The sequence below is a fragment of the Homo sapiens genome, chromosome 1, assembly GCF_000001405.40.
Source record: "Homo sapiens chromosome 1, GRCh38.p14 Primary Assembly".
In the NCBI taxonomy this organism is placed as follows: Eukaryota; Metazoa; Chordata; class Mammalia; order Primates; family Hominidae; genus Homo; species Homo sapiens.
Genome location: NC_000001.11, coordinates 19,855,862 through 19,874,906, shown reverse-complemented (window position 1 = coordinate 19,874,906; position 19,045 = coordinate 19,855,862). Strand labels below are relative to the sequence as shown.

General features: G+C 42.6%; 1 long non-coding RNA gene across 2 annotated transcripts in view; it reads left to right on the top strand.

The window, feature by feature from the left end:
* LOC105376823 (uncharacterized) overlaps positions 1-14,696 on the top strand; it is a 28,954-nt gene extending 14,258 nt beyond the window's left edge. Inside the window, exons 2-3 of one of the 2 annotated variants that reach the window (XR_947028.3) lie at positions 9,155-9,287; positions 14,152-14,696. This is a non-coding gene — a long non-coding RNA (uncharacterized LOC105376823). Of the gene's footprint in view, positions 1-9,154; positions 9,288-9,823; positions 10,211-14,151 lie in introns of those variants that run through there. The other variant, XR_947027.3, reaches the window with a different exon arrangement.
* Positions 14,697-19,045: the final 4,349 nt, after the last annotated feature.

The window sequence follows — 19,045 nt, the reverse complement described above, 5'->3', positions numbered from 1 at the left end:
CTTCCCAAGAGGCTGGGATTACAGGTGCACATCACCACACCCAACTGATTTTTTTATTTTTTCATTTTTTGTAGAGATGGAGTCCCACTGTATTGCCTAGGCTGATCTCAAACTCCTGGCCTCAAGTGATCCTCCCACCTTGGCCTCCAAAAGTACTGGGATTACAGGCATGAGCCACTGCACCCAGCCAAGGCCAGGTCTTTCATTTCCTTATTTGTTCCTAATGTTGTGAAAATGCAACATGGTTTGATTACTGTATTAGTCCATTCTCACACTGTTATAAAGAACTGCCCAAGACTGGGTAATTTATAAAGAAAAGAGGTTTAATTGGCTCACAGTTCTGCATGACTGAGGAGGCCTCAGGAAACTTACAATCATGGCAAAAGGGAAAGAGGCACGTCTTACATGATGGTAGGCAAGAGACAGCAAGTGTGCAAAGGAGGAAATATCAGACACTTATAAAACCATTAGATCTTGTGAGAACTCACTCACTATCATGAAAACAGCATGGGAGACACTGCTCCCATGATCCAATCACCTCCCACCCGGTCCCTCCCTCAACACGTGGGGATTATGGGGATTATAATTCAAGATGATATTTGGGTGGGTTCACAGAGCCTAACCATATCAATTACCTTCCATGACAGTATCCTAACAGGGCACAGGGAAGAATGTTATCAGCAAAAGTCTTTTTTTCCCTCTTTCAGTTACCCTGTGTTTCTGCTTCTGCTTAGATGGTGGTGGTGGTGATGGTGGTGGTGGTGGTGGTGGTGGTGGTGATGGTGGTGGTGGTGATGGTGGTGGTGGTGGTGATGGTGATGGTGGTGATAGTGATAGTGATGTTGAGGGCATGTGTGTGTTTGCATATACGCGCACACACATGTGGAATTCTCTGACTCCTTTTTCTCTCTCTCTCTTTTTTTTTTTTTTTTTGAGATGGCGTCTTGCTCAGTCACCCACTCTGGAGTACAGTGGTGCAATCTCGACTCACCACAATCTTCGCCTCCTGGGCTCAAGCGATTCTTCTGCCTCAGCCTCCCCAAGTTGCTGGGATTACAGGCACATGCCACCACACCTGGCTAATTTGTATGTATTTTTAATAGAAATGGAATTGCACCACGTTGGCCAGCCTGGTCTTGAACTCCTGACCTCAGGGGATCCGCTTGCCTTGACCTCCCAAAGTGCTGGGATTACAGGCATGAGCCACCGCGCCCAGCCTCCCCTGTCTCTTTCTGCCGGCAGTTCCTGTTCTTGATGGCCGTGGGTCATCCTCCGTGTGCCTCTGCCTGTCCCACTTTCCCTCTCCAACTTCCTCCTCTTCCTCTGCATTTCCAGTGCTCCTTTTATCTCACCCACTTAGCATAGGGTGGACCAAAATAAAAAATAAAACAACAGGTTTTGGAGTGGTCAGACAGAATTGAGTCCAGTTCCCACTTCTTACAAGCTGTGTGGCCAGCATTGTTTTCCATAATCTTTCTGAGCTCTAGTTTCTTTGTGTGGAAAAAATGAGAGCAGTTGGGGCTTCTTCTCCGGATTGTTCTGAAGTATTGATATCACAACTCCAGCAAAGTCCCTGGCACCGTAAGTGTTAGTTTCCCTCCTCCTCTTTCCCTTAATTTCTGGGCTTTTTTTTGTTTCCTTCCTCACCACTGCCCATTCTCTCTACTTTCTCCTAAATGGCTATAAGACCAAACTATATTACATATACTAAATTATTCATATGTGTGAAGTGAAGGGTTTAATATCCTTCATCATTCCTTTTCCTAGCCACTAGAAATTGCTAGAAACCTGGCCAGGCACTGTGGCTCACGCCTGTAATCCCAGCACTTTGGGAGGCTGAAGCAGGTGGATCACAAGGTCAGGAGTTCAAGACAATCCTGGCCAAGATGGTGGAAACCCATCTCTACTAAAATACAAAAATTAGCTGCGCATAGTGGCTGCCGCCTGTGATCTCAGCTACTTGGGAGGCTGAGGCAGAGAGTTGCTTGAACCCGGCAGGCAGAGGTTGCATTAAGCTGAGATCACGCCACTGCACTCCAGCCTAGGTGACAGAGCGAGACTCCGTCTCAAAAAAGAAAGGAAGGAAGGAAGGAAGGAAGGAAGGAAGGAAGGAAGGAAGGAAGGAAGAAAGAAAGAAAGAAAGAAAGAAAGAAAGAAAGAAAGAAAGAAAGAAAGAAAGAGAACATTCTGCATTTCTCTCAAGGACAATAAAACAACAGCTATTGTTTGTATGTGACCCTCACTTGATCCATTTCATCATTGGCCCTTAATGGGGAAAATATGGTTATGGGGTGGCAGTGGAGGACTCCTCTTCCTCATGCTCATTCAGTGAACTTGCTGGACCTCGAGCTGTGGGATTTATCTTTTACAGCTCCATAGCAATGTCTTTGTTTGGTGTCTGTGCCAGAGATCCTAATGGCCCACAGTATTTGCAGTCATCGTCATCCTGTGTAAACTCATTATTTACAACTGCATCATCAGCACCTGTGCCAGGACCCCACCCTGGGGCACAAATGAACTAACCAGGTGACGGGAAGTGGAAGGCTGTTCCACAGGCCACACGAGGGGGCAGCAGAAAGACATATTTTGTGATGTGGAGATGAACTGCCGTCAACTCGACTTTCCCCCACGTCTAAGGGAATAGACTTGGCATAAAGCAAAAAAGGCTTATAGAACATAAAAGCACATTGGAAATGATCCTTTTCCAACTTTGCTGTTTTATAGATGGAGAGATTGAGGTCCCAAGAAGGTAAAGTGGATTTGTTGGTCACATTAGCTGGTTACTAGCAGAGCAGGAACTCGAACACAGCCCTCTCTCCCTTCATCATCCCACACTGCCGGGCATGAAGTCCCATCCCCAAGGTGGGCCCAACAACTTCCTCTCTTTTCTCTCAATATACATGGATATTTTTCTGATATGAAAAATACATGTTGGCCGGGAGCGGTGGCTCATGCCTATAATCCCAGCACTTTGGGAGGCCGAGGTGGGTGGATCAACTGAGGTCAGGAGTTCAAGACCAGCCTAGGCAACATGGTGAAACCCTGTCTCTACTAAAAATACAAAAATTAGCCATGCGTTGTGGCGATCACCTGTAGTTCCAGCTAATCAGGAGGCTGAAGCACGAGAATCGCTTAAACCTGGGAGGCGTAGGTTGCAGTGAGCTGAGATCGCGCCATTGACCTCCAGCCTGGGCATCAGAGCGAGACTCTGTCACAAAAAAAAAAAAAAAAAAAAAAAAAAAGAGAAATACCTGCTCATGATAGAAAACCAAAAAAGACATTAAAAATTTAAAAGAAAACAAAATCACCCATACTTGCACTCTCAGGAATAATGATTGTTGCCATTTTGATGTGTTAGGTTGAACCATATGAAATTGCTGATATTTGACAATTTTCAGCCTACAAAAATGACAATTTCATACGGTTTAACCTAATATTTCCTCCCACCTTTTCTCCACGACAAACATAAAATTATTTTAAAATATAAAACAAGGATGAGACTACATGTGTATATTTGTGTGTATTTCTTTAGAGCCTACCTTTTTTTTTTTTTTTTTTTTTTTTTGAGATGGAGTCTTGCTGTGTCACCCAGGCTGGAGTACAGTGGCATGATCTCTGCTCACTACAACCTCCACCTCCCGAGTTTAAGCGATTCTCCTGCCTCAGCCTCCCGAGTAGCTGGGATTACAGGCATGCGCCACCCCGCCTGGCTAATTTTTTGTATTTTTAGTAGAGATGAGTTTCACTATATTGGCTAGGCTGGTCTTGAACTCCTGACCTCGTGATCCACCCGCCTCGGCCTCCCAAAGTGCTGGGATTACAGGTGTGAGCCACCGTGCCTGGCCTAGAGCCTACCTTTTAAAGTGAAGTATTAGCAATTACAAATATATAAAGAGAATAATGCCACATACACTCACATGTCTCCCACTCTTCCCCTGAGAAATAAGATGTCACATATACAATTGAAGCCCGCTATCCACCTCTCCCCAACAGGAGTTCCTCCCTATCACCTTGAGATAACTACTATCATCACTTTGGTATTTATCGCACATTGGTTTGTATCACTAAATCATATGCAGTATTGTTTAGCATTTTTAACTTTATATAAATGAGACCAAGGTAGATGTATCTTCCATGACTTTTATTGTTTATAAAGGATTATATGTACGTATATATATATACACATAGTTTTTTTTTTTTTTTTGAGACAGAGTCTTACTCTGTTGCCCAGGCTGGAGTGCAGTGGTGTGATCTCAGCCCACTACAACCTCTGCCTCCCAGGTTCAAGCGATTCTCCTGCCTCAGCCTCCCAAATAGCTGGGATTACAGGCACATGCCACCATGCCCTGCTAATTTTTGTATTTTTAGTAGAGACAGTGTTTCGCCATGTTGGCCAGGCTGGTCTCGAACTCCTAACCTCAGGTGATCCACCCACCTCGGCCTCCCAAAGTGCTGGGTTAGAGGCCTGAACCACCGCACCCGGCTGAACTGTATATTTTTGAAACTTATCCATGTTGATGATACATGTAGCTTTTGTTCACTCACTTTCAATTTTTTGCTATTAAATATTCAGATTTACTATCTGCCTGACTCCACTAGACAGGAATCTTCCGCGGTGGAGACTCTGTCTTAGTTATCCGTGGCACCCAGGAGGCCCCAGAAATGGCCATTGAGTGGAATGGACAGATGCAGGAAGTGAAAAGCTGAAAATCACTTTGCCAGATAAGCCCAGACTCATCTGTTGAGCACTCAAGGCAGACAGCACTGATAAGAAGGCCCTTGTATCTGGGAGAGGCAGACGTCAAAGCTGAACATTTCTTTATGATGCCTCTCTCAAGTGACAGATTCAGAGTTCTAAGGCATCTGATCCAGAACTGGAGGGGAGGACGGAAGCATCAGGAAAAGCTCCCAGAGAGCCCAGAACTCATTCCTGAAGGATGAGTAGGTTCCTCTCTTCATGGCAACCAGAGCCAGAAGCCCAAATTTATTTTTTATTCTTTATGTTTTTTAGAGAGACAAGGTCTCATTCTGCTACCCAGGCTGGGTTCAGTGGCATGATCATAGCTCACTATAACCTTGAATTCCTGGGCTCAAGCAATCCTCCCACTTCAGCCCCCCAAGTAGCTGGGACTACAGGCACACACCATCATGCCTGGCTAATTTTTTAATTTTTTTGTAGATACAGGGTCTCACTATGTTACCCAAGTTGGTCTCAAACACCTGGCCTCAAGCCATCCTCCCACCTCAGCCTCCCAAAGCACTGGGATTACAGGTGTGAGTCATCGCCCCCAGCCCACATTTTTAGATAAAGGCATTTACTTATATGTCCTCAGGATTCTTTGGTTATACCCATAAAACCAAGTTTTTCAGACCATTAACATGTATGATTGGTAGAAAAATGGCATTGCTGGAGCCATAAAACACAGACAACGAAAAATAACAATTCCTTTGTCAAAATCTACCCACCTCTGATGAGTTCAAAGTTACAGGAATAGTAACAAGTCACAGTGGCAATGAGGCATAGAGGCGAGAGTTTAGGGGCTCTGGAATCAGATGGAGCTGAATCAGAATCCTGGCTCATCCACTTCCTAAATGTGTGACCCTGGGCAAGTCATTCACCTCGTTCAGTTTCTATCTCTTCATCTGCAAAATAGAGATACAAATGTCTACCTTGCAAGTTGATGGATATAACCTGCCTGGCATATAGTGTGTATCCTATAAATGGGAGGAAATCCTATGATCAGACTGGGTTGGCAGAGAACTGCCTTTGACTATTGAAGGTGGACAGGGTTGATGAGAGAGTAAACTCCTCATAGCCATGAAAACCCTGCATCTCACTGTGACTGCTGATACAAGCCACTGGTCCTGTAGAGTAGCTGGGAATCATTCTCAGCCCTCCTCGAGAACACGCCTGTCCTGTGAAGAAGATAAATCTGGTCTGGATGCAGTGGCTCAAGCCTGTAATCCCAGCACTTTGGGAGGCCAAGGTGGGTAGCTCACCTAAGGTCAGGAGTTTGAAATCAGCCTGGCCAATATGGTGAAACACCATCTCTATTAAAAATACAAAAATTAGCCAGGCGTGGTGGCAGACGCCTGTAATCTCAGCTACTCAGGAAGCTGAGGCAGGAGAATCACTTGAACCTGGGAGACAGAGATTGCAGTGAGCCAAGATTACGCCACTGCACTCCAGCATGGGTGACAGAGCAAGAGTTCATCTCAAAAAAAAAAGAAAAGAAAAAAAAAGAAGACATATCTGCTGATAGCCTAGGAAGCTGCTTCCTTTGGCTCTGTGTTCGTTTCTCTTCTTGGAGAAGATGAAAGGAATAAATGGGTACGTATTATATCGGTAAAGTCTAGGAGAGACCCAGTCCTAGAGAGAGGATCTCTCAAATAAAGCAGAAGATTTCCAAGCCCATTTAAAAGTTCACAAAAAATGTCACATGCAAAAGCATAAACCTAAACATCCTGAAAGGAGGGGAAATCCGGTGTTTCCACTACCTACTACTTCCCAGGTGAATATCTCTATAGTTTTCCATTACAAGAAAGAATTGCGGTCAAAATGACCCCCTTGCAGTAGATCTATTCAAATAAAAGAGCATTTAATTTTTGTATTTACAGCTAATCATAATATTACACTCAGTCTCTCCACCCACACACACTTTAAATTAACCTTTATTTCAATTTGCACAGCTAGAACAACTAGAGTTTCTCCATTTTTCTGGTGAAAAAAATGCCATGATTTAAAAGGTACACACCAGGCAGGGCATGATGGCTCACACCTGTAATCCCAGCACTTTGGGAGGCCAAAGCAGACGGATCACTTGAGGCCAGGAATTCAAGACAAGCTTGGCCAACATGGTGAAATCCCATCTCTACAAAAAATACAAAAATTAGTTGGGACTGGTGGGACATGCCTGTAATGCCAGCTACTCGGGCTGCTGAGGCACAAGAATCACTTGAACCTGGGAGGCAGAGGTTGCAGTGAGCCAAGATCATGGTATTGCACTCCAGCCAAGGCAACAGAGCAAGATTCTGTCTCAAAAAAATTAAATTAAATTAAAACTCCTCATCATTTGACTCAATACCTAGCCTCAGAAATAATCATTCAGGCATATATTTTCATGGGAAAGATGACAAGCAACTTAAATGGCTACCCCATAGGGGCTTTTTCAAATAAACAAGGAATTCCGCCATATCATAGAATAATCAGTAACCAATAAAAATAGTCTCATAGAAAATGACAGATCAAATGAAATGAAACGGTGTATGCAATGTGTTATTGGGTGAAAAGAGAAGTTTGCAAAGAGGTGGGGCTCCCATTTTTGGAAAAAGACACACACGTACATACATGCAGAGAGAGAAAGAGAAAATGAAAGAATAGGCATCAAATTAAGTTGATTACCTCTGGGCTCTCAGAATTGGACATGATTTTTACTTTGTTTTGTTTGCATTTTTTGCATGTTTGTATTTTTCTAAATTTCAGACATTAAAATTTTATTACAGTGGTATTTTTTTAAATAAAAAGCATCCCAAAGAAGATGTGAACAACTTTTGGAACACCTGGCCCTTTGCTCTAAGCCTGTTCTCTAAGCTTTCATCAGCACCAGACCTCAACAATTCTAGGGCTGGAGCAGCCTCTCATAGGAAAAGTTCAACTATTTCTTTCTAGAGCAGCCAACCCTAACTTTGATTCTGTCAGGTATGTCATTCGTGACATTATATAAGCATATTATTGGTACCAGGAATTGACATAGCTGCCATACTCATTGGCTTGGCTTGTCCAAAAAGAAAACTGGAGAATACAACTCAGATTTTTAAGATTTTGAGTACTGTTCCTTGGGGACAGTCCACTCATGCTTACAGCTGTGACATTGGCATTACTGTAGCATCAGGAATTTGAGATGGGCTGATTGTCACATGGGTGGCTGAGTCACTTAATTATAGACTAACAAAAGCTACTAGCACTTTGCTATGAAGCTAGAACCCGCCCTTACTCCCCTCTCAGACAGAAATGACCAGCCCACTTTGTGCCATGGTGAATCTATTACATACTCCTTAGATTCTTTGTAACATTCAAGAGCTTTGCAGTCATAAAATGGTAGCCAGGCTGGTCTTCTTCCCAACAATGGTAGTTTACAAAGGTAGTGAGAGCAATGCATTTGGGAACAGATCAAGTGAAAATGTAAAAGTGTCCAAAGAAGTAATATAACACCCCTTTCCCCAACCCAAAAATACTCCCTCCAGCTCTAACATCACCACCTACAGGAAGCCTGTCAGGTTTTCCCAAGCTACTCTTAGACCAAGAACTATCACCTCTTTATCCCCAGATGAGGCCCTGACTTTTGAGAGTCTACAGATGAATGAATGAATGAATGAGTATGTGACTCCGCAAGTACATGAGAGAATGAATATCAGAATGAGTAAGTGAATGTATCTGCTTCAGCAGCATTTGGTAGATATATCTGCTCATTTATTTCACAAAAATTGATGAAGGATTTACTCTATGCCAGATTCTATGATGGGTACTGGGATACTAACAAGATAGACAGGTCCCTGCTTTCAGGGAGTTTATATTATAGTTGGGGAGATAGTCGACACACAAAGAAACAAATGTGTGTATGATTTCAGATGGTGATAGCACTGTGAAGAAAACACATGGGGGTATATGAGACAGAGTGCCTGGGGGTGCTGAATGACTAGAAGATAAGGGCAGCAGGGAAGTCTTCTTTTTGAAGGTGGAATCTAAGCTCTGACTTAGAATGACTGTGTAAGCACTTCTTATGGGCATATGTGACATTACCTTTTTCCTGGGGGGCTCTGGGGAGAATGACTACATCTTATTCATCATTGCATGCTATCAGGTTACAGTAGCAAGCACATGGGATTTGCAACCAGACTACCTGAGTTCAAATTCTGCTTCTACCACTTACTAGCTATGGACCTTGGGTAAGTTACCTAAACATTGAAATCTCAGTTTCCCCACCCAAAAATGGGGTAGGGAATGATGATGATTATGACGATGATAATGATAATACATTTCTAAAAGATATTGCTGTCTGCCCAAAACTCATGCCTCCCCTTCCATAGTGTGAAGTTGTTGCTGAAAAGCGGCTGCCCAAACCTGGGTTCCATTTTCCAGTCTTCTTGTACCCAGATGCAGCCATGGGACTAATTTCTGCCACGGGGACATGAACAGAAGTGACGTGTGTCATCATCCAGGCCTGGATCCCTGAGTCACTGTATGGAGGAAAACTACCCATTGACCAATAACAACTTCATTGGACTAAGTGAGAGAAAAATGAACTTCTATTGTGTTAAACCTCTGAAATTTTAGGGTTTCTGAAACTTTAGCATCTAGTATAACACAAATTAATGCAAACTTTAAGTGCTGTAAAAATCAAATGAGTGTGTCACACAATGCCTACACAAAATGGGCACCAGAGGTTGCTGGCATAAAACAACCGAGGACAGGGCTTTGGGTCCTTTCAAATCAGCCTCATGAGATTTTGACCATGTACCCCTTCTTGTCTTTCTAGAAGGGGATGGTTTTTACTGAACTGGATATTTATTTCTGGGAAGGTTACTGATTATAGGAAGAGTAACATTAGGCCAGAATTACTAACAGTCCCTATGGCTTTATGGCTTTGCAGACTTTTGCATCATCCAGAAAAATGTTTTAATTAACTGAGCATAAAAGAGGTAATCCTGCTCAACAAAATCATTGCTCTCTACTTCAGCCCAGAGCTTGGAGCAGAGCTTGAAAATCAGGAGCTTCCCCCAGGATATAAAACATTTTTTCTCTTTCTCCTTCCTCTTCCTCCAGGACAGTTCTTCTATGATGAGGTCTCTGTAAGACTTTTAGTTCTCAGGCATCTAAGAGTGAAGAAAAGAACCATATGCTTCATGTTTTCATCTACTTGAAAATGAGATAATGAATATAAATCTCCTAACACAGCCAATGACACATCATAGGAATTCAACAAATGGGCATCCTTTTAGTTCATTTAACCCTCACTGTCAACTATGACATGCTTGATATCTTGTCTCGGCCCATAATAAAAATGACCCAGTGGGTATTATTGTCTCCATTTGACAAATAAAAAAACAGAGGCTTAGGGAGTTCAACTATATAGCATTACTGTGTCAAGAAATGTCTGGTACACCAGTTTCATCTGATTTAATTCTCACAATCATGTAGAGAATGCATGAGATTGGTATTATTGTCCCCATTTTGTGGATGAGAAAATTGAGGCTCAAAGAATTTAGATAACTTTAATTCTTGGACAAACATTTTCCAGTACTTTTCTGTGTGCCAGGCTCTGTGCTGAGATGCTGGGGAACCACAACAAAGACATATTCCCTACCCTCCTAGAGCTCACAGTCTGGTGTTAAGAGTTAAGATAAAGAGGCAATGTTGGGCCAGGCGCGGTGGCTCATGCCGATAATCCCAGCCCTTTGGGAGGCCGACAAGGGCGGATCACGAGGTCAGGAGTTCAAGACCAAGCTGGCCAACATGGTGAAACTCCGTCTCTACTAAAAATACAAAAATCAGCCAGGCATGGTGTCGTGCGCCTGTAATCCCACCTACTCGGTAGCCTGAGGCAGGAGAATTGCTTGAACCCGGGAGGCAGAGGTTGCAGTGAGCCAAGATCACGCCACTGCACTCCAGCCTGGGCAACAGAGAAAGACTACGTCTCGGGGGAAAAAAAAAAAAGAGGCAATGTCAACTATGATTTGCTAGAAAATCCAAGTAAGCCTAGGATGTTTTGGGAATAAAGAGGAGGGTCCACCTAACTCAGAACTGGGGAGAGGAGGAGAAACATGAAGTATTTTAGTTTACGTTAGTTGTAAGATAAGATGTGCCCTTGGATAAGATTTAGCTAGAATGGTCATTGCGAAAGAATGTTCCAAGAATAGGAATCACTGGGGCAGTTTCATCATTAGGTGTGGATTTCTTCCTGTTTATTCTTGGGCTTCTTTAAACAAAAGGGAATTGTTGGGCTTCTTGTGTCTGAAGAAATGTATTCTCATTCTGGCACCTTTTTTTTTTTTTTTTGAGACGGAGTTTCGCTCTTGTTGCCCAGTCTGGAGTGCAATGGTGCGATCTCAGCTCACCAAAACCTCCACCTCCCGGGTTCAATCGATTCTCATGCCTCAGCTTCCCGAGTAGCTGGGATTACAGGCATGCGCCACCACACCCAGCTAATTTTGTATTTTTAGTAGAGATGGGATTTCTCCATGTTGGCCAGGCTGGTCTCGAACTCTTGACCTCAGGTGATCCGCCCACCTCAGCCTCCCAAAGTGCTGGGATTACAGGCGTGAGCCACTGCATCCGGCCTCTGGCACCTTTTTTCGTCATTATCTTCAAACATAACCTGTGCTCCCTTGTCTTTTTCCTTCTGAGACTCCAATTATTAAGTTAGACATTTCATGTCATTTACTTCTTCTATATTTCCTGCCTTTTTAATTCCCCATACTGTATCTTAAAAGATTGTCTTTTGACCTGTTTTGACCTTTACAGTTCGTTGCTATTTTTTCTTTAGCTGCGTCTAATCTAACACTAAAACCATCCATTGCATTCTTAGTTTTGGTTCTTATATTTTTCAGTTATGGAATTTCTATTGGTTCTTTTTCAAATATGCTATCACTTTTTATCACTTTCCTGTTTTCTGACAACATCTTCCAACTTGTATCTCCTTGAATGTAGTAAGCATGGTTGTTTTCTGATTGGTCTCTGTTAATTCCATCAACAGTAGTTCCTATGGATCTGTTTCTGCTGTCTGTTGTTTTTCTTGACTCTTGTTCATGGTGTCTCGTCTTTTTTCTGAGATGAAGTCTTGCTCTGTTGCCCAGGCTGGAGTGCAATCGCATGATCTTGGCTCACTGCAACCTCCACCTCCTGGGTTCAAGCAATTCTCCTGCCTTAGCCTCCTCAGTAGCTGGGAATACAGGCACGTGCCACCAGCCCTGGCTAATTTTTTTTATTTTTAGTAAAGATGGGATTTTACCATGTTGACCAGGCTGGTCTCAAACCCCTGACCTCAAGTGATCCGCCCACCTCAGCCTCCCAAAGTGCTGGGATTACATCCATGTGCTACCACACCTGGCTAATTTTTGTATTTTTAGTAAAGATGGGGTTTTACTATGTTGGTCAGGCTGGTCTCAAACTCCTGACCTCAGGTGATCTGCCAGCCTCAGCCTCCCCAGTAGCTGGGATTACAGGCATGCGCTACCACGCCGGGCTAATTTTTGTATTTTTAGTAAAGACGGGGTTTCACCATGTTGGTCAGGCTGGTCTTGAACTTCTGACCTTGTGATCTGTCCGCCTTGGCCTCCCAAAGTGCTGGGATTACAGGCGTGACAAGGCAATGTCTTGTCTCTTCATGTGCCTAGATATCTTTCTTGCTTATTGGATACTGTATTTTAAAACATAATTATTGATTTGAGGCCAAGGATGATGTTCTGTTCTTCCAAAGGGGATTGTCATTAGCTTCTGTCAAACACCTGAGGCTACTGACTGTCTTAGATGATTTAATCAAATTCAAAACATTGAGATTTTCTGGGCCACCCTGATGACTCAAAGACTAGCCACAGTTCAAGCTAGAGTTCAAGCAGATCTCTACAGGCTGACAAAATTACAGCTCAATCATTTAGTGCCTATTCAACATCAGCCAACGTTCCTGGACAAAAGCAGCCTGGAGTATTGGGCTCACCTCTCTGAGATCCTGTCTTTTCCCAGATCTCAGCCAGTCTTCCTCAGTGTCTTGTTAGCTCTTTGACACTTTAAAGATGTTTTTGTATTTTATACAGCTTATTTAGGTATCATCATCTTTCAGCCATTAGATACAGAAACTGAGGGACAGTATGTGCAAAGGCCCAGAGGTCACAAAACTTCTGAGTGGTCAGGCAGGATTGGAACTCAGGGTGTAACTGTTTCAAATACCAGATTCTTACTTCTACACAGCACTGCTCAGTCCACATCATGATGATATACATGGATAAGCTGATGTATAGATGGATAAAAGCTAATACTTACTTACCAAGCCTTTGGCTGTGTCAAACACTCTGTTCAAGCTTTAGATTTTTAAAACTCATTTAATACTGAAAACAATCCTATGAGTTAGGTATTGTCATTACTTCTATTTTACATATGAGGAAACTGAGGCTCAGAAAGATTAGCAAACTGGTGCAAGGTCACACAGCTAGCAACAGTTGAGCTAGAATTCAAACCTGAGAGTCCAACTCAGAGCCTGTGCCCTAACCACAAAGTTTTGAATAAAAGTTCCTTGTTGCCAAGGGTCTGAAAATCATTTATCCTACCACATAGCTTCAGGCACAAATACTAACCCTAGGACCATTGGTTCTCCAAGATTGACCTTCCCAGGTAATACTATACTATTTGTACCCTACACTTGCCTGAGTCCAGATGTAACAAAGTCTTCACTTCCACGTATTGGGAAGCATTGCTTTGAAATCTTCAATTCTGAAAACTGTAACCATCCTCACCGCCTCCATCAGATGTTTTTCTCCAAGGGAGACCAGAACAGTTTACAAGCTAATCAGTTCCTGCCAGACTCATAAATTGGGAGACAAGGGAGGGGCAGTGAAGGGGGAAATGCTTTATTATCCCCATTTTGCAAAGGCAAGTTCCAAGCCAAAGCAGGTGAGTCATCCACAGAGATCAGAATCCAACACCCATTCTGTTCCACCCCCTGAATTCCTTCCTGGAGTGGGGGACTTTACCCCACAGATAAAGCCACTTCTCTTCTCTGCTAGGAAATATGCAAAGTAGACTGTGGGCCTCCCAGGGAGCCAGTGGTGGGAGACAGGTGCATGCCAGGTCCACGAGCCTCCCTAAGAATCAATTGGTCTTATATCCTGAATTTTCGGGGCATGAATAATGATCCAAGCTACTATTAATTAAGCATTTACCACTGTGCTAAAGCATTTTCATGTGTGATTTCATTTAATCCTCCCACAACCCTCTGAAGATTCTATCGTTATCCTCACTTTCAGATTTAAGAAACTGAAGCCTGGGAAGGTAAAGCATTTGCCATGGCCACCTACTTAGGAAGCAACAGGCCTTTGGGTTGACATTTTGAAGTCATTCATCTGACATTCCTTCCCACTGTCTTTCCTTCCCACCTACAGATGTGCTTCTAAACACTAAGAGAACGGGTCAAGGGCAGAGGATTTCTGTGGGATCTGTGCTCACTCATAGTCATGGTAGAGGAAGCTGAATCCCAGAGCAAAGGACACCAGGAAGAGGAGAGGGTTTCTCTGGAAACAGCAGGGTAGGTGCAGGCTGACGTGCTTATTGACATGGCAACCTGAACACACCTGGAGACACCTGCTCCACCACCCAGATGGCCATGAATGGAGCAAGTTCTTCCCACTGTTGCTCTCTTCTCTTTTCTGCAAAGTTACACAAGGGTCAAGTCCCATCAAGGGTCCCATCTCCATCTTTTCTCAAGATGAAGCTGGAAGTCATCTTGCCACTGGGACCCACCCTTTGGAAAGACCTCTGCCCAGACAAGGAAAGTGCTGCCTCAATTGCATGATTTGAGTGACTTTGGGAGGGTATTCCTGTCCCCAAATAGACCTCCTCTCCTGACATGTCACACTGGCCGAAATTCCACTATTACAGCTGTTCTTTTCAGGTAAAAAGAAATGAAACCTCTTTCTAAATATAAACACTCCCAGAAAGGGTACTTGATGTTTGTCGATTGTAATTTTTTCTCACATAAAGATGTTTTTTCCCAGACTTTTAGAATTTCCTTCCATCTGTCTGCTGAGTCTGACTCATGAAAAAAACCCAATAAATATAGTATCTGTTGAATGCTCAAAAAGGACTACACAAATAAACAAGTAGCAGCCCCACATTAGAGAGAAAAGGCAAAGAAAGCCATGCTTAGTCTAACCTGTGTTTTCTAAACCGAGTTGAACACAGATGTGACATCATTACATTAACTTGTTCTTTGTTTTGTTTTTGTTTTTGTTTTTGTTTTTGTTTGAGATGGAGTCTTGCTTTGTCACCCAGGCTGGAGTGCAGTGACACGATCTCGGCTCACTGCAACCTCTGCCTCCTGGGTTCAAGCGATTCTCCTGCCTCAGCCTCCCGAGTAGCTGGGACTACAGGCACAGCCTACCACGCCCGGCTAATTTTTTGTATTTTCAGTAAAGATGGGGTTTCACCATGTTAGCTGGGATGGCCTCGATCTCTTGACCTCGTGATCTGCTCATCTTGGCCTCCCAAAGTGCTGGGATTACAGGCATGAGCCACTGCACTCAACCTGCTAGATGGCTTTTTTTTTTTTTTTTTGAGACGGAGTTTCACTCTTGTTGCCCAGGCTGGAGTGCAATGGCGTGATCTCGGCTCACTGCAACCTCTGCCTTCTGGGTTCAAGTGATTCCCCTGCCTCAGCCTCCCAAGTAGCTGGGATTACAGGCACACACCACCACGCCCAGCTAATTTTGTATTTTTAATACAGACAGTGTTTCTCCATGTTGATCAGGCTGGTCTTGAACTCCTGACCTCAGGTGATCTGCCCGCCTCGACCTCCCAAAGTGCTAGGATTACAGGCGTGAGCCACCGTGCCCAGCCCTACTAGATGGTTTTTAATGCCTCTTTCTAGTGCTCTGTAAGAGAAGAATAGTAAAGAGGAAAGAAAGAGAGCATATGATGGGGAGGAACAATCTGAAAGCCTAAATGAAGATACCAAGCCCATTGGGGCTATTTTGCTTATCTCGTGTATTGTATGAGGTCTACAGATTTTACAACACAGAAAGCAGAAGCAAGAACAGCGACCGTAAAGACATCATCCTGTCGTCTCAGCCTGCACTTCCTGCTACAGCCTTGTCTGTTCAGGGTCTATGCCAAGCAGCCAACACAGTTCCCAGGACGTGGTAGCTGTCCTACAAATGTGTGTTGGTTCAAACATAATTATGCTTTCATCTTAGAAAATGTGGGGGAAATACAAACAAGTATAAAGAAAAAATAACCATTATTCATGATCCCATCTCAAGAAACAGTAACAGAAAATGCTAACAGTTATTGAGTGAATATCACGCACTAAGCACTTTACATGATCTCTCTCATTTACTATTTATATAACCACTGTCAACATTTTAGATTTCCTTCCAGGGTTTTTTTTCTATACATGCCACATATATATTTTTTCTATACATGCTACATATATATGTATATATGTATGTATGTATACATATATGTATGTGTATATATGTAGCATGTACAGAAAAATATATATATATTCAGTAGTTGTACTGTACCCTGTACATATACTTTCTATTCTTCTTATTTTTTCTGATTATCCTCACAAGAGACTTTTGAAATATTGATTTTTTTTCCTCCCATTTTACAGATGAAAACACAGAAGCTCAGGAGATAAATTGCCTAAGGTCAGAGAGCTAATAAATGGCAGAGCTGGGATTTGAACCAAAGCCAGACTGGCAATAATGCCTGGGATTTCACCCCTCACCTACTCTCACCCTTCTTCCCAGGTGCTCTTCAGTGTATCACATAATTGAGAGGTGATGGGCTTCATTTCCCAGGGCATCCTAAAGACTGGGCTTTAACACAGGGCAGGGTGTGGTAATTGCTGTAAATGGCCCAAGAGACCCTTGATTCATACTGCCCTTCTGATGAGGAGACAGCCTGTTGATATCCAGGGACCCAATCAGAGAGGTGTGAGCAGTGCCAGGGTTCATCCGGGGCTGCCATGATGGGAAGCAGGACCAAACTAGCAATAAGTATGATCTGATGAGCATCACTCTTACGACCACCTGGACAGTTCCGCCAGGCAGAGGAGAGAACTGCCAATGTCATGAGTCTAGGGCTGGCAGATAAAATCCAGGACACCCAGTTAAATTTGAATTTAGTCACTTGTTTAACCACTGTCAATATTATAGACATATGTCTAAGTATGGTGACATGCTTATACTAAAATGCTATCTGTTCTTTATCTGATATTCAGATTTAATTGGGAGTCCTATATTTTTATTTGCTAAACATGGCAACCTGAGTAAATGATCCCCCTTTTGCTTTTTTATTTTATTTTATTTTTTCCTCTTCCTCTTTACCCTCCATTTCCACTTCTGTCCTTCTTCCCCACCATAAATACTCAAACTGATTCTGTTTAACCTAAGTCCATCTAACTTACCTTCCATTTGTCTATTTTGATATATGTGTAAATCTTTCACTGTATGGTATTGATTTTTTTTTAATTCACACAAATAGAACCACACTATAAATCTCATTCTTTCCACTTTTTTCCTCAACACTTTCTTCTTGAGATCTATTCATGCTGTGATATGTAAATCTGGATCATGAATTCTAGATTTTACAAAACAGTTCACCGAATATATAGGCCAGGTTTTACTTAACAGTTCCCCAGTGGTAGACAACTAGGTAGCCTCCATCTTCTTGTTCCAGACAATTCTGGGTTAAAGTGTGTGCACATCTGATGGGTGTCAGGTCAATCTCTCATTATTGTAGTTATTTATATTTATCTGGTTATCTTACAGATGTATGTGAGACAGTTTCTCTAGGGTACATTCTCAGAAGTGGGATAGCTGTTTCATAGAGTATATGTGTGTGATATTCAAAATATTTAACAATTGGCTAGGCGCAGTGGCTCACGCCTATAATCCCAGCACTTTGGGAAGCCGAGGTGGGCGGATCACCTTAGGTCGGGAGTTCGAGACCAGCCTGGCCAACATGGCAAAACCCCATCTCTGCTAAAAATACAAAAATTAGCCAGGTGTGGTGGAGCATGTCTATAATCCCAGCTACTCAGGAGGCTAAAGCAGGAGAATCACTTGAACCCGTGAGGCAGAGGTTGCAGCAAGCCGAGATTGCACCACTACACTCCAAACTGGGCAGCAAGAGCGAGAGTCTGTCTCAAAAAATAAATAAATAAAAATTTTAACATCCATCAAGGCGCAGCACTGACCACTTGGAACAGGTGTTGCTGGTGTGCCGTACTGGTATACACCTACCGAATATCTGCCTTGCATACACACAAACATAGTTTCATTGGTACAACTGGAATTACTCAGGAATGGCTTTGCCGGTCTAGACTCCCGTCAGCATTGCATGAAGATCCTCTTTTTTTCACATGCTTGTTACCATTTGAAACTATATTTAAGTTTTGCCAATGTGTTGGCTGTCAAATAAATCTCATCATTGCATTTGTTTGTAGTCCTCTGATTATTTATGAGATTGAATATTTTTCATATACTTATTAGCTATTTAGGTTTCCCCTTTTGTGAATCATCTGTTAATACATTTTGTCCATTTTCCTCTTGTATTTCCATTTTTTCCTTCTGGCAGATATTTAGGAGTTTCTTATATAGCCTGGAACAGTGCTATCCAATAGAAATACAATGTGAGCCACATATGTAATAACAAATGTTCTAATAGCCATATTTACAAGGTAAAAAGAAACACACAATTAATTTTAACAATATATTTTGGCCAGGCATGGTGATTCACGCCTGTAATCCTATTACTTTGGGAGTTCGAGGCAGGTGGATTGCTTGAGGTCAGTTCAAGACCAGCCTGGGCAACATGGTGAAACCCTGTCACTACAAAAAAATACAAAAATTAGCCAGGCATGGTGGCTCGCATCTGTAGTCCCAGCTACATAGTGGAGCTGAGGCAAGAGGATTGCTTGAGCCCAAGAAGTGGAGGTTGCAGTGAGCTGAGATTGCAACACTGAACTCCAGCCTGGGCGACAGAGTGAGAACTTATCTCAAAAAAAAAAAAAAAAAAAAAAAAAATATATATATATATATATATATATATATTTCACATAACATAATGTGTCTCATCTATCGTTTCAACATATAGTCAATACAAAAAATTATTAAGATACATTACAGTCCTTTGTGCATGCTAAGACATTGAAATTTGGTTATATATTTTACACTTCAGCACATCTCAATTTTGACTGTGTCATTATAAGGTGCTCAATACTACATATGGCTGGTAGCAACCATATTGAACAGTGCAGGCCTAGAATCT